Source organism: Homo sapiens, chromosome 2 (assembly GCF_000001405.40).
Source record: "Homo sapiens chromosome 2, GRCh38.p14 Primary Assembly".
NCBI classification, from domain to species: Eukaryota; Metazoa; Chordata; class Mammalia; order Primates; family Hominidae; genus Homo; species Homo sapiens.
This window is the reverse complement of record NC_000002.12, coordinates 211,406,379-211,430,914: the sequence shown is the minus strand read 5'-3', so window position 1 is coordinate 211,430,914 and position 24,536 is coordinate 211,406,379. Positions and strand designations below refer to the sequence as shown.

General features: G+C 34.5%; 1 protein-coding gene across 11 annotated transcripts in view, besides 2 other annotated features; it reads left to right on the top strand.

The window, feature by feature from the left end:
* ERBB4 (erb-b2 receptor tyrosine kinase 4) overlaps positions 1–24,536 on the top strand; it is a 1,163,086-nt gene that overhangs the window by 1,107,888 nt on the left and 30,662 nt on the right. For all 11 annotated transcript variants that reach the window (NM_001042599.2, NM_005235.3, NM_001439006.1 and 8 more), the window contains 4 exons: positions 2,432–2,507; positions 6,614–6,760; positions 8,811–8,908; positions 10,304–10,474. In NM_001042599.2, coding sequence (NP_001036064.1) covers positions 2,432–2,507; positions 6,614–6,760; positions 8,811–8,908; positions 10,304–10,474 — 492 coding nt within the window. The remainder of the gene's footprint in view (positions 1–2,431; positions 2,508–6,613; positions 6,761–8,810; positions 8,909–10,303; positions 10,475–24,536) is intronic.
* Positions 16,336–16,835: an enhancer, noted in NCBI's record as "H3K27ac hESC enhancer chr2:212278805-212279304 (GRCh37/hg19 assembly coordinates)". NCBI's record gives its function as "activates a minimal SCP1, AML or CMV promoter by ChIP-STARR-seq in primed H9 embryonic stem cells {active_cell/tissue: H9 hESC(primed)}" and the evidence as "EXISTENCE:reporter gene assay evidence [ECO:0000049][PMID:30033119]".
* Positions 16,836–17,337: an enhancer, noted in NCBI's record as "H3K27ac hESC enhancer chr2:212278303-212278804 (GRCh37/hg19 assembly coordinates)". NCBI's record gives its function as "activates a minimal SCP1, AML or CMV promoter by ChIP-STARR-seq in primed H9 embryonic stem cells {active_cell/tissue: H9 hESC(primed)}" and the evidence as "EXISTENCE:reporter gene assay evidence [ECO:0000049][PMID:30033119]".

Here is a 24,536-nt window from a genome sequence, read left to right as displayed (position 1 = left end):
GAAAATATAGTATAATATCCTTTTATCTCCTTATATTTTATACAAGAAACCAATAAGCCTGAAGCTTAGGAGATTATTAAGCCTTGGTTCTACCATTTGCCTCTTCTCCTGCCCCGGGTATATATATATGTGTGTGTATATATATATCATATACACACACATATATATATACCATATATTACCAGCTTCCGTTTCTCAAAAGTAGCTAAAATAAGATGATGCATGTCTGTACCCAGGTGACCTTCATGTTAGGTCCAGTGATGGAAAGTGGGTGGATCCTTAGGGCTTCTAGAAATTAAACTTTAACACATGGCTGTAGAAATTGTCCCACTGATCTAAAGACCGTAGCACTAACTCTTATAGAGAACATAGATTCTCTCTCATAGATTAGAGAAAAGTTTAGGTACTACAAAGAACCCTGAACAGAGCCACTGCCTCGTCTACCTTTTCTGACCCTCTAGTCTCAGCCTCTGCCTGACAATGGAGTTCCTGACTCTTTCACCCACTATATGGTTTCAATCCATGCCTTAGTCCCATGTCTTGTATTTCCTCATTAACCTTCTCTTTAGCTTGACTTTCTTGGCCAAACTATTAGGACTAGACTTCATATGGAGGTCCCTCTAGCTTCACCTAGTGAAACCTAAGGTCAGGCAGCCCAAATGAAATAAGCAAATGCAATCTTAGGCTATGGTGACCTATAAGCTTACACTAACAACAACAAAAAAAAACCCAGTTATTCTCATGTCATATAAATATATTTATTATATGCCTTATTTATCATATGGGCCATCCAAATATATATTATAAATATTTTGCAATGATAGGTTTCCAAATGCTTAACTTTATCACAAGGCAAAATAACACAAAAAATTTTAAAACTACCCTATTTTGCCTGTTTGTTTACTACCAAATTGCAGTAGTCTGAGACCACAGCATTGAAATTCACTCTAAGACTGCACAGAAGTTGAAGTCTATAAATCACATGGCTTCACTTGTCTTGAGAACATAAGATTTGAGACATAAGATTTGTCTAAAGCAAGATTCATTATAGCTTTAAATGCTTGGTAACTATTAAGTCTTTATCAAGCTACCTGTGATTTAAACTTACTTCTTTAACACAATGTCCGTAGTCCATAAAGTCTGCTAACTCCTTGCCCGTAGGGAAATTACTTTCAATGTGTCTTCTCTTCCCTTTCACTGAATACCATGATTCTGTCATAGAGTTACCTTGGTGTCACCTTGGTGAGCAGCCAACCTCATGATTTCAAAGGCCTATTTAGTTTTAAGCTTTCAACTGCAAAGTAGAAGTGTTTATCTTTATTCCATAGAATCTAATTATATTCCCAGCTATATAATGCTGCCCTTCATAGTTGAAACTCATTCTGCTGACCCATCATCAGCAGGATATGTGGGTTGAGATGTTTTTCTTGTAGTGATGATAGATTTGTGCTGATCCTTTCACATTCTTTTATATAGTTCCTATTTTGAAAATGGTACATATTTTCAATACTGGCTAACCAAGATGAGAGGGGTCATTTGAAGCTGGAAAACAAAGCAAGGCTAACTTTGGAATTCATGATTTTAGGCGTTTTAGTGGCCAAATTATATGAGAGGAGAAGGGAGGGGGCAAGTATAGAAAGAGTCCATTGTACTGGTGGCCCAAAATGTGTCTGAGGGTGAAAAGGGATAACTGAAAGTATAACAAATCTCATTTTTTGAGAAAAAACTATAAACACATTTTTAGAAGCATGTGTATTAGATGTTTAGATTTAATATTATAAATCATAATATTTACTAGCAACTTAATTACTGAATGTTAATTAAGAACTATAGAAAGTTATCCCCACTTAATTATTTTTACCTTTAATTGTTTATAAAGCTTTTTTTTTAAAAAAATAAGTATGACCAAGCAGGGTGGCTCACGTATGTAATCCCAGCATTTTGGGAGGTCAAAGCAGGCAGATCACTTGAGCTCAGGAGTTCTAGGCTAGCCTGGGCAACATGATGATCATCTCTAAAAAAATGCAAAAATTAGCCAGGCATGGTGGCGCACCCCTGTGGTCCCGGCTACTCAGAGGCTAAGGTGGGAGGATCACTTGAGCCTGGTAGGCAGAGATTGCAGTGAGCTGAGATTGTGCCATTGCACTCTAGCCTGGGTGACAGAGTGAGACCCTGTCTCAAAAAATAAATAAAATAAAAAATGAATAAGTATAGTACATCTTTAGATTAATTCACTTTATGTATTTTATAAATTAACATATATTTATAGTTATAGTCATAAATTAACATATATTTATAGTTATAGTTATATCTATACACACATAATAAAAAAATATGATTAAGGCCAGCCCAAAGACTCACATTTAGGAAATACATATAGAAATGAATTTTTAATGTAATTTTAAAACTTTTACTTCTTACTTCTCTATAGATGCCAATTAAATGGATGGCTCTGGAGTGTATACATTACAGGAAATTCACCCATCAGAGTGACGTTTGGAGCTATGGTAAATAAATCTTCTTTGCGAATTAAAGCTTGTAAAGCAAAAATACATATGTTAAGTTCATGTGAAATATCTTAAGCTAAATTATTTTGTTGTGTTATAAATACCTATTGATAAGCCTAATTTCCTAAAGCAGTTAACTCTTTGCTTTCTCAATGAAAAAAAAATATTTTATTTTATTTTATTTTATTTTATTTTAAGTTCTGCGATACACATGCAGAACCTGCAGGTTTGTTGCGTAGGTATACATGTGGCATGGTGGTTTGCTGTACCTATCAACCCGTCATCTAGGTTTTAAGCCCTGCATGCATTAGGTATTTGTCCTAATGCTCTCCCTCCCCTTGCCCTCCATCCACCGACAGGCCCCGATGTGTGATGTTCTCCTCCCTGTGTCCATGTGTTCCCATTGAAGAGCAACAAAATATTCTAAATAGCATTGCTATCTGCCTTTTTCTGTTTTTTTTTTTTTCCTGGTTTATTACAATGTAATATACTAATATTTCTGCTAAGATGTTTTCCATAAGCTGTGGTTTTGTAGGAACTTGCCTGATCATTTTGACAGAAAAAAAAAAAATCAGCCAATTTTAGTTTAGGGACAATTTCATAGAATTTCATGGTGTTAATTTTAAGCAACTTTCAAAAACATAACTCTGAATACAATAAATATTCAAACAAAAACAAAACCAACTTTTTTGTGGGTTTCTTGCATGTAAGAATTTATGTTCTATAGTAGAAAACAGATTATTGTCATAACAAAGAAAAATTACTGACAGCAGTAAGTTAGAGCAATGAACATGGTAAAAGAGAAGATTGCTAATTACAACATTAATTTTAATTTACAAACTACTTGTGGAGTTACAGAAATATTACAGAGTGAATAATATGAACTGGAAAAGAGTGACATTTATAATTAGAACATTTATTTTATTGTGTTTAACTTAATTGTTAAGATGAGCTATTTAGCATCTGTCTGGCTACTTAAAATTTAAGTAAGTCCGGTAATACCAAGAAGGAGTCAATACGTTTCTAAGTTTAAATATATCATATAAAATTAGCATTTCTTACAAATAAAAAGCATAATGCCCACTTAAATAAAAGGGTGGTGGTGAGATTTAAATGTATGGTACAATTTATGTTACTCAAACTTAAGCTTAAAAAAAAGTTTTACCTTTTTTGCATTGTTGGAAAAAAAAAGATATAAACCATTCAATCACTGAAGAACTTACAATTCTTATCTAGGAAAAAATTAACTATCTTTAAAAAAGTATTTAAGACATTTCAATCAAGTGGGTTATTCCTTCCACATATGTATTCCATAGGAGGTGGTAAAATTTTCATGAAGGTTTCATGTGTTTATTTTACTCAGCTTAGAAATAGAAAATGTCGTGTGTCTGAGGTATAGACAAATGTAGTGGAAATGCTTGACAAAACTTACTTGCTAAACTATTGTAAGAAGTGTATAGAAAAACATCTATTGCATGTATTCTGTGATAACTTTATATATTATATGATACAGATTAGCATGTAGATTAGCATTTATACATTACATGATATAGATAGGTTTATAGAATATATATTATGTCAGATTTATATATTATATCATATAGTATATTTTATATATGTATATACTTTTTTCTTTTTCTTTCTACTTACAGTTCCCTGAATCAAATATGGCAGTCTCCTGAAGGCAAATTTAAATTAGCTCAAGATATATAGGCAGTCTCCTGAAGGCAAATTTAAATTAGCTCAAGATATATATAAACTGGGCAGAACAGTCATATTTTTAATAGTAAAATTTGTCTTTTGGGGAAAATCTTGTTACTCAGGGTGTAACATTTTTCTTCATGTTGAGTTGCAAAATCCCAGGAACTGTTCAGCAAAAATAAATAAATAGATAGGTAGTACTCTGTTTTGAAACACAGCCCAGGTCATCAACCCATATTCATAAGGCATTTAAAAAATGTTGTGATATATCATAGTTGATTGCAAAAGGCGTTAAAGGCAGATAAAGTTGCATAACCTTGTTTACAGTGCACCTTTATGGAAAATTCTCACTAGGTGCATTTTTATTTTTACAAAATAAGCACTGGCTGTGATATACATCTTAAGATAAAGGAATTGCAAGTAAAATTCGAGGATGTTTTGTTTTAGCTTTCCTGACATTGTTCTTTTGCTTGAAACCATCCTTTTCTAACCCTATCTTGTCATCACCTTTACAAGGATATAATTGGATTATTATCAGAAGAAGTAGAGTTTTTTATATTTTGGCTTTTGTTTTTGTATTTTATATTTTCTATTATTTTGATTTACAGTTGCTTTGTATCTTGCTTATGTTGGGAGTTCTGCTAGAAATGTGAGAGTATCTACTCTATCTTTTATAACTACCTACCTAAGTTAATAAAGTGTTCTCCTTAAATATATATTCTAGGCCCCGCACGGTGTCTCGTGCTTGTAATCCTAGCATTTAGGGAGGCCGATGTGGGCAGATGGCTCAAACCCAGGAGTTTGAGACCAGCCTGGGCAACATGCTGAAACCCTTTATCTACTAAAAAATACGAAAATCAGCCAGGCATGGTGGCTCATGCCTGTAGTCCCAGCTACTCAGGAAGCTGAGGTGAAAAGATCATGTGAGCCTGGGGAAGTTGAGGGTGCAGTGAGCTGTGATCATGCCTCTTCATTCCATTCTGAGTGACAGATTGAGACCCTGTCTAAAATACAAAATAGATAATTCTAAAATATAAACTATTCTAAATATAAAATATTCTAAAATATAAAACATATATATATATTCTGTAAGTATGACTATCTAGAGATGAACAGTCATCCACTTAACTTGTTGCAGCCTGCCTCATAGAAAATTTTTATGATAGATTTTAGGAGCTTCTCCTTAATATACAAAATTAAAGATGTAATAACAATCAGTCAATTAAATTGTCACTAGGTACATGTTAACAATATACCTAAAATCCTAAGATGTAAATATTAACCAAAAAAATCAGGTAATAGTTAATATTCTATTAGAAAGAATAATTTTAAATTCCACATAGTTTTATATTTTAAGCTTTGTATTTTTGTTATCAGTCAATGATAACTGTTATAAACTAAAAAATACTTCAGCCTGAGTAAATAATTCATTACAGATGGCAATAGGAAAGAAAACATAGCTCTAATTAATGGATTTTATACTGAAAGATGACTGTATATACACATCAATCAAAATTCACTTTGTAATATTATTGTGCCCAGCTAGCCATGTCTGAACTTAAAAATCTTTATCCCTAAGAAAATATTATCTTAAATTATATAATCATTACATTACAAAAAAGATATTTAGTGTATATATTATTGCTCAAATCAGAACCATCATTATCACCAAAACTGGCTGTTTGCATGCTACCATTTAGGGTATTTGCTTTTGCAGAGAAAATCAATGTCCCAGTGATTCAAGAAAGCCATTTTATTACCTAAAAAATAAACTACTTTCTATCCCCTTCACAATTTTGTTGGTGACTACTTCACATGTACTATATATTACGTATGGAACATTCCTCTCTCAGGCTCTCATATGTGCTAAAGAAGTCTATGTTTTATTCAACTGTTTTCTTTGTGTAAGTTAGAGAGAGTCACAATTCTTTATTGTAACATAAGGTAATTATTCTGGAAGCCTTTTATAGCAAAGATGCTGATCTTAAAATTAGTCAATATCTTATTTTACTGGCAAAAGCATATTTATTGGTACTGAATACATATGTATATATAGTAGATGAATTGTTTTATGGACTGTAACGTGGTATAACTTGGATCAGCAAACATTAGTGTTACCTATAGGCAGAAATGGGGAACAGATTCTATATGCTGACATCCACTGTAAATTGTCTCTTCTATCCATTAGAAATTCCAAGACAATAATAAGAAAATTGAATTCCCCCACAAAGATTTTGACATTGGGGTTCTCATAATGGATGCAGGAATTTATGGAGCTTTTTTTTTTTTAATTGATTGGTGTTTGGATTGACCTGTAAGGAGTATTCTTTTACTACTGGTATAGTGCTGGTTTGTTCAACATATGTTGTTAATATGCTTAAGTAAGAATTTTTTCTCCAATATAGGAGTTACTATATGGGAACTGATGACCTTTGGAGGAAAACCCTATGATGGAATTCCAACGCGAGAAATCCCTGATTTATTAGAGAAAGGAGAACGTTTGCCTCAGCCTCCCATCTGCACTATTGACGTTTACATGGTCATGGTCAAATGTAAGACTGCAAAATAATGTTATCACCATCATCATTCTTAGTAAAGTAATAGCAGAGATTACTCAATCTGTACAACATTTCTCTGTATTGAAAAATACGACAGTTCAAAAACAATTATGAAAGGAACATATGAACGCCTCTTTGTTGTGACTATTATTAATATAAAGTAATACTCTTCCATGCTATGAAGTCAAAATTATGACTCTTTTATTCTTATAATCTCCATGACAGTCAAATTGCCTGTCGTAAAGAGAGGTAATTAGTCACAATAATGTTATTACTAACATTACTAACATGAATGTTAGTAATAACATTAGTGACCTTTATGGGAAAATATCAAACATTAGTGACCTTTATGGGAAAATATCAGGCTACATAAATGATCTAAACATGAAGGAAAAAAGCTTGAAACTGACAGTTTTAAAAATTAATTTAATAGAAATAGGTCTACTGGTTTTAGTCAGGAGCAAATTAGCAGGACAAGGTGGGAAGTGGGAAGAAATGAATCTATAGTGAGCTAAAAAGATTATAAATGTTTACTTTTTTCAATTTGATCATTTGTTTACATCAAACTCTTACTTTTCTTTTTTCTTCCTATGTCCCAGACACATATGTATTATAAATGTGTTTTTGAAGCACAGGCCCTTAATTTAAATAGAATTGAGGAAGTCTCTGGAGTTTCTGGCTTAATTTAAGTGAGATTAACATGCAGCAATCTCTCTTGTATAATCTAAGGCTTTCCCCTTCTGATTTACACGGGGTTAGCAAAGAAACAAACTTGTGAAGGTGAATAAGCATCTTATTAATAAGAGACTTTGGACCCAGGTCTACTCAGATTTATATTCATGACATGTGTGATACATTCTGACAGTGAGGGAGGAAATAAAAAATGTTCTTTGCAGTTCAGGTCAGCCTGCCCTTTTCACTAAGCATAGTTCTATTTACTCAATATTTAGTTGGAAAGAAACCGATACCTCAACTGTGGTTAACCTTTTTTGGCTTCAATAGTTTCAGAAACACCTGTTTTCTCATTAGCATCTTGGCATTAGCAAGCATTTTTTCAAATGAATGCATATAGAATACAGAGCATTTGAGCTTTGTTTGGGGAGAAAAAAAGCAGATGACATTAATGATACATAAAATGACACCCAAAAAATTCCCAGAATAGGAATAAAAACTGAACTCCCGGAAAAGGAAGGAACAAGCTTTACAGCCTTATTCTATTAAATATTGTTTGGTAGACATCTATGGAAGAAAGTTTAAAAACATGCATGTCTTATATAATTTAATCCTGTAACTAGCATAGGAAATGATTTAAACTCATCAGAATTTAGCTCTGATGAAATTAATTATGTAAAACCAAGAAAACACTTTCCCTAATGGAGAATTTTACCTTTCTTTCGGGGTTTTAATACCTAAGAAGAGGATAATTTGGCAAGAAAATCAAGGAAAGCTTGATACTTTTATTCTTGTCATCTCATTAGCTAAACAGAGCCTGTAGAGATAAGGTCTGCTTTATCTAGACTCCCAGCTAAATAAGAATACATACCTTGAAAATTGCTGATAGTATTTTTATACTAGACAAGCTAGTACTAAGATAAGCTAATGTCTATTGCTGAACAGGCATTACCAATCACTTTGCATTAGTTTTTTTTTTTTTTTTTTTGTCCACCAGGACAAATGTAGCACAAGAAAGTTGCTTTTAATTCCTCTTTTCCCGTTTGTGCCAGTGTAAGCATTGTAACCAAATCTTCTCTCCTATGTCACTCCTAATACAAAATAATAACTTATATTGCAGTCACGTCTATACACATCAGAGAAAAAATTTATCTTTTGTTTTACAGTACATTACATTTAGTTATGAATATCAACAAAGAGACCGATAAAGCCTTACCAATTGAGTCGTTTCTTTCACTAGCTTGCTTTCTTTCTCAGATCATTACGATTAAAACAACATTTTTCAAACTTTTGCTCATATTTTCACAAAATTTAAATTTCAACTCCTTTCTAGTTACGAATATAGTGACATTTTCACTGTGTAAATTTCCAGGTTGGATGATTGATGCTGACAGTAGACCTAAATTTAAGGAACTGGCTGCTGAGTTTTCAAGGATGGCTCGAGACCCTCAAAGATACCTAGTTATTCAGGTGAGTACATTTGACTTATGCCTTTAAGACTAGGCCAATGGCAAACTCACTGCAAAATGAGTAGTATCAGGACTTTGGAACTGTGGAAAGGACCACAAACATGTTGATTAATTAAGCAGAATTATCATGTGACATGACTTATGGAAAAGAGCTTTTTATTTCACGTCAGATCCACCTTTTAGCACCTTCCCTTAGTATTCAAGTGGCTCTGCTACTGAACAGATAATTATGATTATACATATACATAAAGAGGTCTTAATCCTCAGACACTTATTTTAGCACCTTGATTTTATTAACATTATGTGTAAGTCATGTTCATTAGTATAATTTTCTTTTTTCGGAACAAAAGGAAGACAGATTTTTGTTTTAATCTTGCCCATGCTTGAAGACAGTGAATCAAAAGTTTCAGTATATTATTTAATTTCCCCAAAAATATTTTAAAATATGTTTTGTTTTATTTGGAGAGATATGCAGTATCTAAGCAATAACTCAATTCAAATGAATTGATGCACATTTTAATCAACCAACCAAAGAAATATTTTATATTTAACACTAGAAAAATAGATAGACTTGGATAATTAAAAAATAATAATATATTTCTCTAGGATTAATTTCACCTAAACTCTAAACAAATGGGCCTTGGACTAGAGTGTATTATGTTTCCTCAGTAAAGCAAGGTAGCCTTTATTTTCATATCGACAGTCTGACATAAAGATAAAAGCTAGGTTTTAGAAGATACTTATTTCCATTTATTTTTTCCCCAAAATTAGTTTTCATGAACTGAAATTGTTTCCAAAAATTATGTAACTTTAAAAATATAGGAAAAATACTTAAGAAATAGACGAGGTGAGGAAGAGCATAACAAAGGTTTTGGTGTCTTTCTCATACTCCTTTACTCTATTTGCCACTTGCACTGTGAGTTTTGAATGCCCCTACTTTGATAATGCAGTCAGTATGCTATAGAATAAAGTATAGACCCTATGGTCCTGATAATCCTACAGCATCAAACCAACCAAATAAACGTTGATAAATTGATCACCTTTTATTGTTTATTCTTAAAGTTGCAACCCATACACTATCTGGGCAATGAACAATTATTTTCAGACCTGAAATTGATTTTACCTCCCTAAAAACATCTTTTGATTTTGCTTTATTATTCTCTAATGGCATTTATCATATTCTCCTTGTATAAAGTTTGTTTACCTGGCCCTATCATTTCTAAGCATGTTATAGGTTTCTTAATGGCCGGTGGTTGTGCTAAAGACTTGTTTTTTTAAAATGTGTGTATGAATTTTTCAACCATTTGTTATGATATTACATAAATTTATTGCAGAGACCACATATTTAAGATAAGAAAGAATCATATTTGTGTCTGATGGGCAATCTTTCTTTTAGGGTGATGATCGTATGAAGCTTCCCAGTCCAAATGACAGCAAGTTCTTTCAGAATCTCTTGGATGAAGAGGATTTGGAAGATATGATGGATGCTGAGGAGTACTTGGTCCCTCAGGCTTTCAACATCCCACCTCCCATCTATACTTCCAGAGCAAGAATTGACTCGAATAGGGTAAGAAATAATTATATACACATATCATATTCTTTCTGAGATATAAAATCATGTAATAGTTCATAAGCACTAACATTTCAAAATAATTATATAGCTCAAATCAATGTGATGCCTAGATTAAAAATATACCATACCCACAAAAGATGTGCCAATCTTGCTATATGTAGTTAATTTTGGAAGACAAGCATGGACAATACAACATGTACTCTGAAATACCTTCAAGATTTCAGAAGCAAAACATTTTCCTCATCTTAATTTATTTAAAACAAATCTTAACTTTAAAAAACAATTCCAACTAATAAAACCATTATGTGTATATAAATAAATGAAAATTCCTACCAAGTAGGCTTTCTACTTTTCTTTCTTAAAAAGATATTATGATATATTAGTCAAGAAGTAATACAAGTATAAATCTCTTTCACTTATTTAAGAAAAATTAAATATTTTCTGTCAAGTTGAAGTAGAAACACAGAAAACCGTGCAGTCCTTTGAACCTAATCACATCGAAAAGGCTGCTGAGAAGTAGATTTTTGTTTTTAAGAAGTAGATTTAAGTTTTGAAGGAAGTTTCTGAAAACACTTTACATTTTAAATGTTAAACCTACTCTATATGAATTCCATTCTTTCTTTGAAAGCTGTCAAATCCATGCATTTATTTTTATAAATTCATTCCTCATACATTCAACATATATTGAGTACCACTGTATGTGAAGCATTAGTATACATTTAAGACTCAAAGAATTTTGATACAACTTCTGCTTTCAAGAAGTGAAAACCTTAATCAAAGAATCATACAGATAGAGGGACTGCATAGTAAGTGCTGTAATCCAGTATTCACTGACCAGTACGGAGCATGAAGAAGTAGTAAATTTGTGTCTGTAATCAGTTTCTTCCATTGATAAGATATAAACATGATGCTTAATTTTTTCTAGAAGATAATTCTTTTCTCTTAATCTAAGAACATTATCATAGCTAGTAGAACCGACAGCATCCGATTTCTCTTGACCATAGCCATAAGAATATTTTCAACTTGCTGCTCATTATCTAACAAACATAATTTTCTTTATTTCATATTGATTGTAATAAGTAATATTCCCCTGGTGTTTACTATTCAACACATATATGTTAACCTCCTTAATCCTTAAACAAACTTCATGAGGTTCTATTATTATCATCCCCTTCTTTCAAAGGAAGAAACTTGCCACAGAGAAGTCAGGTGATATGACTGGTGTCACACAGCTAGTCAGTGGAAGAGAGGAATAATGTAATCTAGATATCTGCCTACTACACTGTAGGTTTGCTTCAAAGTTACTGAAGCATGTTATTTCCATGATGTGATTAGAGTCTGGGACTTGTCTTGTTTGGGAAATTTCCCAGGTGGTTTTCTTATAAAATGCATCTCAAATCTGCTCTACACCTTTTACTCATCTACCTCCATTTAGAAGATCTGATATGGAAAGAGACAAAGATGGAGACCTCAATTATTTTTTCTTTTCTGTTAAAAAATATTATAGTACAAACTGAAAACTTTATCACATGCCCAATGGGGAATAGATAACTAAAAGTTTTAAAAATTAGATCAATGGATAGGTAATGAATAATCAGTCTTTTGCTTGTGAGAGGGGAAGAAAGCGGTTAAGGTGTATAAAGGAGGCTCTCTGTACACTTTGCAAAATGATCAAATTATATACCCTTGTATTTATAATTTTAAGTGACAAATTCATTACTTCTGGTTACAACAGTGAAATTTAAAAAAAAATAGTTTTTCTTTCTTAGCTTGCAATGCTATAAATCTTTTTCTTTTTATAAGAATTCTTACATTTCAGCTTTTTGTTCATTTTAATTTATAATTCTCAGTGCAAGAAATTCTTAATAAAGGTTTGAGCTAGCTAGATGGAATTATTGAGACAAAGTCTAAATCACCCGTGGACTTATTTGACCTTTAGCCATCATTTCTTATTCCACATTATAAAACAATGTTACCTGTAGATTTCTTTTTACTTTTTCAGTCCTTGGAAAAGAAATGGTGATTAAATATCATTGTATCATTTTATGTTCAGGCATTTAAAAAGCTTTATTTGTCATCTATATTGTCCTAATAGTTTTCAGTCTGGCTTTACGTAACTTTTACGGAAATTTCTAACATGTACAAATGCCATGTTCCTCCTTTCTTTCCTACATGGCTGAATTAGAAAACAAATTACTTCCATTTTAAGTTTGGCTAAATTAGAAAACAAATTACTACCATTTTAAGTTTGGTGGCTAAATAACGTGCTAAGGGAACATCTTAAAAGTGAATTTTGATCAAATATTTCTTAAGCATATGTGATAGACTTTGAAACCAAAAAAAAAAAAAATAATGCATTTTGAAAATATAGGCTCCACTGCGCACTAATTAAGAAACTTTAGGTAATGTTCTGAATATCTCTATGACTTTGTTTCCTCATTTTCTAAATGCTATATTGCCTATCTTATATGAGTGTTAGGCAATTAACTTTAAAAAATTGCAGAGTATTTATAATGCCAGGTAAACAAATTTTATTACTCTACTTTTAGAATCATCAATTTCACTTTTCATTTTTACCATTTCCATTTTTACCTTTTTCCTTGTCAATATCATATATCATAAATAATCACACTTTCTTATAAGGTGCTCTACCCACTATCTATGAAAAGCTTGTTGATGCAATTACTGCTTGGCCAGCAAATTATTTCTGCTGATGTGTTCTAATATCAAATAAAGACAGAAGTAATTTTTTATAGTGCTTTTGATTTTTTCAATTCCACAAATATTTTGATAAATTACAACTTTAAAGCAATGAATCAATTCAAAATACAATGTTTATATTTGTCCAGAAAGTTGATGAATACAAATTTAAGTCATGCTAGAAAACACTTACCTAATTTACAGCTGCTGTTACTATTGTTAGATATACTTTTAATATTACCTTAAAATTTTTTCTTTTTTGAGACAGGATCTCACTCTGTCACCCAGGCTGGAGTGCAGTAGCACGATCTTGGCTCAGTGCAACCTCCACATGCCAAGCTCAGGAGATCCTCCCATCTCTGCCTCCAGAGTAGCACCACAGGTGCATGCCACCCTGCCCAGCTAATTTTTTTTTATATTTTTTTGTAGAGACAGGGTTTCCTTATGTTGCCAAGGCTACTCTTGAACTCCAGAGCTCAAGCAATCCACCCACCGTGGCCTCCCAAAGTGCTGAGATTACAAGTGTGAGCCACCATGCCTGGCCTCAAATCTTTTTAAGCAATAATACACCAAAAGCTATTTTACTCTAGCGTGATGTAAAAATAGGAGAAAATGAGAAGCTATTTAACTTCTGCAAACCGTGCTCTATATCTGTAAAATGGGGATTTAAAAATTTTCTCACGGAATATTATGAAGATTACCTTTTTAGTGTATGCATGCACGTTACCTATTAATGGACCTGGAATAGATGCTCCAATAGTGTGGAAATAAATGAATATTAACCAAACGAAAAAAGCAAAGAGTATTTATTCAGAGACTGCTATAGCAAGAAAGTCAGCTCCATCAGTTACATTTTGGCAGAGACTTAAAGGCCCGCAGAGGAGTGGGAAAGCTGTGTAGGGTTAAAAAAAAAAAAAAAAAGGGAAGGCTTCATCTATGCCCTCATTAGAGACTGTTGGCCTGGGGAAGCTATAGGCAGGATAACTAGAAGCCATTGGTTAGAGGTGCATGTTTGACTTTTTTCTGTTGGTCTGAAGTTGGAAGCAAGGACAAAAATTAGGAAAGCTGCCAGTTATTAATCAATTCTGGTCATTTGGAGCTGATTGTTATACAAGTAATTGTGTAGCTTCCTGGGTTGTTACTAGAGATAGCAATCTGACTTCCTGCAAATCTGATTTACAAAAGGCTGGTTTGCTGGGCTGTTTATTGTAGATAAGGAGGTTTGCTTCCCAATTTGTTTCTATTTTTACATATGGTCAGGCCATTGTCCCTTTGTATATTCAGTCTATTGGATTTAGTTTCCATTGCGGCCTTCTTTTCTCTAGATATTTAAACACATGCTGCCTAATATTTTCGATTACATGTTCAGCATAATTTAAAAATTCTCCATAGGTTTTTTTTCTTTCTTTTTTGTTACAATGGCTAAGTTTGGTCTTTTGAGTTACCTAGAATTATATTTTTTTGATATAATAAATTGTATATTAAATGAAATAGCAATGAATAAAAATAGTGAATAAACTGATGTGGCTGAAGATATTTTAGCTTTAATGATATTAGAAAATTTAATTTAATGTAAAAGCTTCCATGTATTTTTATAGAGGAAGACATAGTTTCAATTGCAAGCCCATCCAGTCATTTGTAAGCAATAGTTTTAAGATTAAATGCTCCTCTGTCAAAACATATCAGCTAACTCTTAATTATCTCAGCCAGTGGAAGACAGAGAAATTGTAGCTACTCCACATTAGTGAAGTGAGTAACCCGCAATGGATTTATCATCACAATGTAACTTCTTTTTCCCTTCTTTTCTATCTGCTAAGAAGTAACTTTATTAAATAGATTTATTTGCATTTTCCTCTTCCTCTTACACGCTTTCTCCCAGAATAGATATATAAATAAACTGAAAAATAAAATGTAAGCAGAAGTGAAGAAGAATGAAGAAAATTAAAGAAGTTTGGTATCTCAAAAATTTGATCAATTTCTAAGTCATTGAATGTAAGTTGAGTATCTTGACTGCTAAAAATATGATTCTCTCTACTTTATTTTACACCATATCACTTTGCTCTCAGATTAGATTTCATAACTTTAATATAGATATTTATTTTTATAAGGTTACCACACACACTGTAATTAACCATGAGATTTTTATAAATTTAGCCCCAACTCCTGCATAAAAAGAAAGAAATGCAAGCAAATCTTTGGTCTCTCCTGTAAGATTTATTATATTTTGCTATGTTTCCTTATGATGCATAAACCAGTAGAAGTTTGAGCAAAATGATAATGCAGACACAATGATGTCATTCTCAATAATGACATTCAGGCCGGGCGCGGTGGCTCACGCCTGTAATCCCAGCACTTTGGGAGGCAGAGGCGGGCGGATCATGAGGTCAGGAGATCGAGACCATCCTGGCTAACGCGGTGAAACCCCGCCTCTACTAAAAAAAATACAAAAAATTAGCCGGGCGTGGTGGCGGGCGCCTGTGGTCCCGGCTACTCGGGAGGCTGAGGCAGGAGAATGGCGTGAACCCGGGAGGCGGAGCTTGCAGTGAGCCGAGGTCGCGCCACTGCACTCCAGCCTGGGCGACAGAGCGAGACTCCGTCTCAAAAAAAAAAAAAAAAAAAAAAAAAAAGAAAATGTAAGTTTCAATGGGATTTGCCTTAGTATTTCAATAAATCAAAATCCTGTCCCTTTATGAAATAATAAAAATAGTAATAATAATAATAATATCAGCTAAAACTTACTGAATGCTCACTATAACCCAAGTACTATGCTAAGTGATTTAAATTAAATATCTCACTTTTATTTCACAAAGCCCTAGGAGGTAACTACTACTGCCAGTCCAATTTTAAGAGTTTAAAAAAATAATTGAGCTATGGACAGTTTACGTAACTTACAAATGATAAGAAAAAGAGCTAGAAATCGAGTCTGGATTTCAGTTGTCCCACACAAAGGCCATATTTCTAAGCTAACAGAGGGGATGGAGGAGGGAGACTTCTCATTTCAAGTTGCTGTTAAACATCTTGCTACTGAAGGACCCTAAAACTTTTCATTCACTTTACGGTAATCTGGATAAAAAAACTAAACTGAAAGTCAGAAATCTCACATTCTGGAACCAAATCGATGAAGCTTTAACCTTAGTTATGTTTTAAAATATTGCCTGATTATATCTCATGCATTAAAATTGTATTTTCTTTCTTTTCTTCTTTTCTTTTCTTTTTTTTTTTTTTTTTTTTTTTAATTGAGACTGTGTCTTGGCTCTGTCACCCAGGCTGGAGTGCAGTGACGCAATCTCAGCTTACCGCAACCTCTGCCTCCCAGGTTCAAGCAATCCTCCTGCCTTAGCCTCCCAAGTAGCTGGAACTAAGGCATGCACCACCATGCCTGGCTAATTTTTGTATTTTTAGTAGAGACAGGGTTTCACCTGTTGGCCAGGCTGGTCTCGAATTTCTGACCTCAAGTGATTCGCCCGCCTCAGCCTCCCAAAGTGTTGAGATATAGGCGTGAGCCACCACGCCAGGTCACGCTGTATTTTCTTCTAAGAAACATTTCATCAGAAAATGATCAAAAACATTTTGGCCTACCTCTGATAGAGGTAGGAGGCAGACAAAGGCCTAGGCAGATAGGGAAGGGTCCCCAGAGAGTCTCCAACTCGCCCCCACAAGTGTTTACACCAGATATTTTGTGCAGATAAGGAAGCCTGCATGGGGTGCTTGCCTGGGCGTGCCCGCAGTGGACTGGAAGCCCACATGCACTGGGGGAATGGGGTGGAACCACCAGGAATTTGCGCCTTATCCAGGGGAGGAGCCTGGCCTCTTTATCTCGTGTGTGGTGGTGCTAGTATTCAATTTGAGGGAGGTGGAAAGCTGCTTGCAGGACCCCCTCTCTTTGCTGAGAGCTTTCTTTTTCACTTAATACATTCCACCTTCCTCACCCTTCAATGTGTCCGCATGCCTAATTCTTCATGGTCGTCAAACAAAAACCCAGATTAGCTGAGCTAAGGAGCAAAAAAAATCCTGCATCGCCTCTATGCATAACTTTTTTCCTTATGTGATTGAACATAGAAGAGAAAACCCTATGGACACAAGTTAAGGAAGTATCTCATAGCTAAATGATATAGTGCGAGAATTTTGTGATGATATGACAAGGTTACTGTGGTTGCAATTTACCAAGGATCAACATCACTTCTAACAACGGCTGCTACTTGATGATAAATGATTGTAGTCTCAGGATATTGGCTTGACATGGTGGTATCTTTGACATGATGCTTGAGGGTTTTTGTTTATTTGTTTGTTTTTATTAAGACAAAAGAAGGGGCTCTTCTTCTTAAGATCCTCCCTATGACAAGGGCTTTTGTTTGTTTTTGGTTTTTTTATTTTTTTTTTTATCAATGTGTGTGTGTGTGTGTGTGTGTGTGTGTGTGTGTGTGTTTTTAAGACAGGGTCTCTCTCTGTCCCCAAGCCAGAGTGCAGTGGCACAATCATTCATGGTTCACTGCAGTCTTGACCTCCTGGGCTCAAGTGATCCTTCTGCCTCAGCCTCCTGAATAGCTAAGACTATAGTTGTGTACTGCCATGCCCGGGTAATTTAAAAAAACATTTTTTTGTGTGAAGACATGGTCTCACTGTGTTGTCCAAGATGGTCTCAAACTCCTGGCCTCAAGCAATCCTCCCTCCTTGGCCTCCCAAAGCACTAGGATTACAAGCGTGAGCCACAGCACTGGGCCTAAGTAGAAATTTTTTAAATTGTTCAATTTCTTTTCTTTCTTTCTTTCTTTTTTTTTTTTTTTGAGACAGTCCCACTCTGTTGCCAGGCTGGAGTGCAGTGGAGCGATCTCGGCTCATTGCAATCTCCACTTCCCAGGTTCAAGCGATTCTCCTGCCTCAGCCTCCTGAGTAGCTGGGATTACAGGCACACGCCACCACACTCGGCTAATTTTTGTATTTTTAGTAGAGACAGGGTTTCACCATGTTGGCCAGGATGGTCTGGATCTCCTGACCTCGTCATCCACCCCTCTCAGCCTCCCAAAGTGCTAGGATTACAGACGTGAGCCACCATGCCTGGCCAAATTGTTCAATTTCTTATAATGAAAGAGTAAATGAATTAATATATTGAATGTTTATCATAGGCTAGGTACTGTGTTGGGCAATGAGAGTACAAAGTTGGAAGACAGAGGTCCTGCCATCAAAGAGTTAATATTCTAGTTGAGGAGATAATATTCTGAGAGAGACATGCCAGGAATTATAGGAAAAAGACAAAGGAAGCTAAATCAGTTTAAGAGGTTATAAAAAGTCATTTTAAATGTATCTTTGTGGAGGCTGATTATCTAGCTTGGAATAGAAATCATTTTGGTGGAGCAGATGAGCAGATCTGAAATGGATCAGAAGAAAGGCAAAAACAAACAAACAAATAAAACCCCCCACCACAAACAAAGGTGAAGAAATGTGTTTTTGTTACTTTTTAATTTCTACTTTTTGTAATATTTCTATATTGCACATGCTTGAGAACTTTTATCAGGAGGTGAGATGGACTTTCTTCCAATTTTCTTTTTTTTCTGTCAATGTTAGGATGGCTTGAAACATGATTTTGAAATCTCTTGCTCCTCATTAAATTATTCAATTTAAAAACTTTTTTTTTTTCTCTTAGCCTTCCTGAAAAACAGCTCTCAAATTCCTATCTTCTGTTTCTGTTGTCTTGAATCTATTTCAGGCCCTCATCACTTCACAGAAGTTACTATAATATTACTCTAATCGAGATCCAATTAGTTTTATTTTTTATTTTTTGGAAAATAGGCTCAATTTCTAAATAATAGTGTTTACATTGTACCAAGTGAAATACAATATTAATTAATATTTCCATGCTTTATCATTTATTGGCACCAATTTTTATTTTTTGGCCTTCATCTATTTAGAGTACAGCTTTCTATTATTTCCATCAAGGGAAGAAACTGGAATGATGCATGTTTTAGTAGGTCTCTCTTCAAATGATATATAATCCTATTGTCACTAACAGTTGAAGGATTTTTGAACGTTTAGCCAAGGAAATGCCTTGGTCATTCCAGTTGACCAGTCACTGCAATTTATTTTCCACTCTTCTCCAACTCACACACACAAAACTGCCCAGAGCTGCAAGCATCATCCCAACATTGATCTCTTTCAAAATATAGATCATGTTGGTGCTTTCTGTTTGACTTTAGAGGTGTGGCTGGATAATTTGCATATTTTAAGAAAGAGCTCCTCTCCTTATGTATTATAGATTTGACTGTTGTTTTTAAATAAGGACATAATGTCAAATTGCATTCATTTGTCCTTCCAAGCTCTTGGAAATTACAGGGATATCAAAAATGGTTCTGACCCCTCTGATTTTCCACTAATTTGAGAAACCTTTCAAATACTTAATTTATATATAACAAAAATATCAAGGGACCTTTTTTTGCAATGTCTTTTCTACCAGTGACTTTCTTAAAATCTGGATATATTAGTTCAGTTATGCTATTCTTTGTAAGATTTACTTGTATTTAACACGGTACCTTAGGCTGGGCGTGGTGGCTCACGCCTGTAATCCCAGCACTTTGGGAGGCTGAGGTGGGTGGATCATGAGGTCAGGAGATGGAGACCATCCTGGCCAACATGGTGAAACCCCATCTCTACTAAAAGTACAAAAATTACCTGGGTGTAGCGGCGCATGCCTATAATCCCAGCTACTCAGGAGGCTGAGGCAAGAGGATCACTTGAACCCGGGAGGTGGAGGCTGCAGTGAGCCGAGATCACGCCACTGTACTTCAGCCTGGCAACAGAGCTAGACTCTGTCTCAAAATAAAACAAAACAAAATTAAATTTAAAAAACAAAGGTTTTTTTTACAAATTGTTATTGTTCTTTAATTTATCCCTGACTTCCTAAGGATTTTCATAGGGTTGGGTTATAATATCTTATTAAACTTAATGTCAAGCCTTCTATAGTACCAGCTCTGAATTCTAAATTCTTCATTTAGCCCTGTCTTTAGGAATTACAAACAAAATTGAACTATTTTCTCAATTTCTTTAGTAATAAAGAGGTAAGTTTTAATTTATCAAATTGTATCTCCAGGTATCATACAAATCACTTCTAGTAGATTTGAACTTTGTATAATGCCTCCTTGTTATGGTACAGTATGAATTCCTCTATAGTCACTGCTTTATTCTTCAGGGAATCTGCTTTTTCCATTGTTAAATAATTGCCTGTATCCCTTTCGACATTTTCTCTTGTAATAAATGTTAATCTTATTATTTTTCTCTTTAATATTTAAACAAAGTCTAGTCCTTTATGTGTGTCAAACTGAACACCAACCATTGGTATTATAAACCTATAAATGCATGTTTACACATGTGAAAGAGGTGAAATATTTCTCATAGCGTGGTAAATCACAATGATTTTACTCCTCACCCAAACTGAAGCAGCAGCCTGATATTTATAACTGACCTCCAATTCGGGAAAAGAGGAGAGATTGGCAATGTGTGTATATATATACATTTAAAACAAATACATTATTCATTGCGTATAAAGTCCCACACTCTCATTGACATGCAGACACCAGGCTCTCCTTACAATATGGACAACATAATTTAACATCCTTCCTTTGGCACTTGGTTTTCCTTCTTTTTCCCTAGCATGTATGTCCTTCTCTGAACATATGTTTCCACTAGATTTTCTCTGAATAGAAATACAACCAGTGTGGTTTGTCCTTGGCCTTAGTATATATAGATGAACTCTGAGTGAAGTGACTTGCTTCACTGAGATGCACTGTTGTAGTACGAGGTGGATGCATAAGTAACTATGTACTCGCGGAGTGTCAGAGTTGCAAGGGACCTTAAAGACATTCTAGTGTAAACCCTTTCATCTTATATGTGTATACTGATACTGGAAAATATAAAACCTGTAGCCCAGTGTCCTTGTGCTTCTAAGGGGTATGTGAGAAGCTTCAGTTTCTCAAGTCTAACTCTAGTATTCAGACCTCTATTGCTCTATTGGTTCCCCCCACCCCTGGTCAAAACCATGAAAATCTTGATTTTGACTTTAAGTTTAGTGAGATTTAGTATCAATTGGCTTAAAAGGATCTTACTGGGAGCACAGTGAGAAGCCAGAGCCCCTGCTCGATTTATGCCTCTGTGAGACTCCCTGTAATCAAGAGTTAATGATTAGGAGGAACAAATGGAATTGATAGAGCCAAAATCAGAGCAAAAAAGCAGGGAGAACAATGTCTGTATCGGGACTCAGTCATTACCTACTTGAAGATAAAATGATCCTTACAAGTTAAACAAATGTTTCAAAATTCTCAAACACAAACCTAAATATAGCTACCATTTATTGATCACATATTCATGTATTAGGCTCTGCTTGGAGCTTTTTTACATTTATTACCCTTAACCTTCATAACAAGGGTAACTGAAAAGCATTATTATGGCCATTTTACAAAGGCAAAAATGAAGCAGAGAGGCAAAGTATTTTTGCTGAGACTTCCAGGTTACATGGTAAAAAGTAAGGTTTTTTTACTGATTTGTCTATGCTTTCAACTCTCACCCGTCATTTGGTTAAAAATATATATATAATAATCTTCAATAAATAGCAATTAAATAAAATATAAGCCTAATAATCATTCAAATGGAGTTCATTAAAAGATGGAAGAGATGGTACAGACTTCTACTTTATTTATTTTGTTTTTTAAATATTGGGGACAAATTTTATGAAGCCTTTTTCGTTTTACTCTAGACTACGAAGTACTATTTTGAAAAATATCCTGTCCCCTTTACATCCTCGGAGTTTGCTACAAGCAGTGTAATTCAAATCAGTGAATCACTTTTATTCTTGTGACATTCACAAAAATAAGTGACAGCTGAACAGTGCTTAAAAGTTTGCAAAGCATTTTGGCATCTGTGGCATTTTATTTTTACACCAGAATCCCAATTATACAGAACACTAAATTCTTGGCCTATTAAATAACTCAGTAACTTGGTTAAGAGCTTGGCAAATACCAGACGAGTGTCAGGTCTTCCGGCTCCAAAGAGAATGACCTATCTAGTAAATAATGATTCACCTGAAAGAACAACTTGTGCTTATTGTTTGTAGCTTCTTATCAGCACTAGACTTGGCTGCTGCCAAACATGTTTCTACAACACTAAGACAATGCGTGTCTTAGAAACACTGCTTGTTTAAGGAGAGTCTGGCGCTAAAGAATGTTTCAGAGATCTTTATGAAATTATTTTACACTTGAGCAACTATCAGCTGGCACGAGAAGCCTTTCTGAACAGTTGAAATAGGCTTCATCCACTCTTTGTTAAAAAGTGCTAAAGAGGAAAATCAGAGCTGGAAAAGGACACAAAGAGGTGGGAGGGACAACTAGAGAGGATCCTTAGATTGAGAATGTTAATGAATGTTTTATCTAAATCATTTAGATGGTTAATTTTTAGTATTACTGCTACAAGATTCGCAGCTCTGCTGTAAATTACTGGGAAAATCTCATCAAGAAGCCTATTCTTTACTGTACTCGACCTAGAAAGGACAATTGTGAGTTTCTTTACCCTTTATATAATAGAAGTGGCACATTATCATCAACTTTCTATTCAAATTTTTTGGAAGTTATTTAATTTATGTATGTATGTATTTATTTATTTATTTTACAAATCCATCTTTGTCTGCCAGAGCTCCCTGTTCAGGCCAGCCTGCTATGATGATTGCTTCTGCAAAGGCTTGAGAGAGAGAGATGCTCTATTTTATTCTCAATAAGGACTGATGGCATTTTGAGAGGCTCAGAATATCCTTTGATTACTCCATGAAACAGAATGGAGAAGATGGTTGTGGATAGTAGGGGGTGGGCCGGCTCATCAGCTTTCCTTTGTGCACTTTCTGCAGTTGAACATATCCTAATCACAAGGATCTTGTGTTTCAGTCCCTTTCCTCGCTCACCTGCCCAAATGAAAAGTTCTCTTTTCAGTTCAGAATTCTGACATAGCAGCGTGTTCTAAAGAGAGGCTAATTTGTGTTCTGTCGTTTTTATTCAGACATTGTAAATGAATGGCTGTGGACCAGCCTCTCATTACACTTGAGCAAAAGCTGAATTGAGAGATGGGTAGACCACCGTGGGAAAAATTCCAAATACTATGACTATATCTCTTGCAGCAAAATATGCTACATTATGATGAAAGAAGTACAGTAAATCAAAAAGGGAAAGAAATTGGAAGTTTAATCTACAACCAATTTAGTTTGCTTTTTCCAACAATAATCATAGACAATTGTTTAGCAACATTCATACTTAATTGTTTCCCTCCCTGGGAAGAAAAAAAAAATAGTGTTTATAATTCCTAGCGTATGGAGATGTTGAGGTATACATAATTCATATTCATTTGGAGCCTACTACAGTCTCTTCTTAGTTAGAGTCCGGTATTGTAGTTATGTGTTAGAGAGACCAGGCTACAGGATATTCTTGGGTCGAAATGACTAAATGCATTCTTTTGTGTCTAGTAATTACATATAAGTGTATTAAATTCCTCAAAGAGTAAATAATAATAGGTGATACCTGTTATCACTTATCTTTTGCCAAGTACCATAGTGTCTAATATTTATTAGTTTATTAAATCTCATGAAAACCCCTTGAGTTTAGTTTTTTAAAATTTATTTTTATTTTTTTGAGACAGAGTCTTGCTCTGACACTCAGGCCAGAGTACAGTGGGGTGATCTCAGCTCACTGCAACCTCCCCACTCTGGGATCAAGCAATCCTCTTACCTCAGCCTCCTGAGTAGCTGGAACTGCAGGCATGCACCATCAAACCCAGCTAATTTTTTATTTTTTGTTGAGGTGGGTTTTTGCCATGTTGCCCAGGCTGGTTTCAAATTCCTGGGCTCAAGCAATCTACCCACCTTGGCCTTCCAAAGTTCTGGGATTATAAGCATGAGGCACTGCACCTGGCCTTGAGTTTAGTTTTTTCTATTTTATTTTTCTACTATTTTAGTATTTACTATTTTTTGTTTATTATCTATCTACTACTAACTATTTTTATCACTTTTGTGGGTAAACCGAGGCACAGCTATTCAATGACAAAACCTGGAAGCCTGGCTCGAGAGTCCCTTGAGGCTGCACTGTTTACCAAAATGATGCATTGCCTCTCAGTCTGCCTCTGACATTTCTTTTCTCTTTTATTATTGCTATAAGATCAGTACTCAGTACATTAAAGATGAGTATATCAGTGAGGAATTTTGACTTTTTGAATGTTTTTATCATCAGATTCCTCATAAATGTTAATTTTGATCTTTAAGGGGCTAAATCATCTTACTATTAGCTGTGTATCCATTAATTCAGACTTAGAAATTTCTACTTACCTATATTGAATA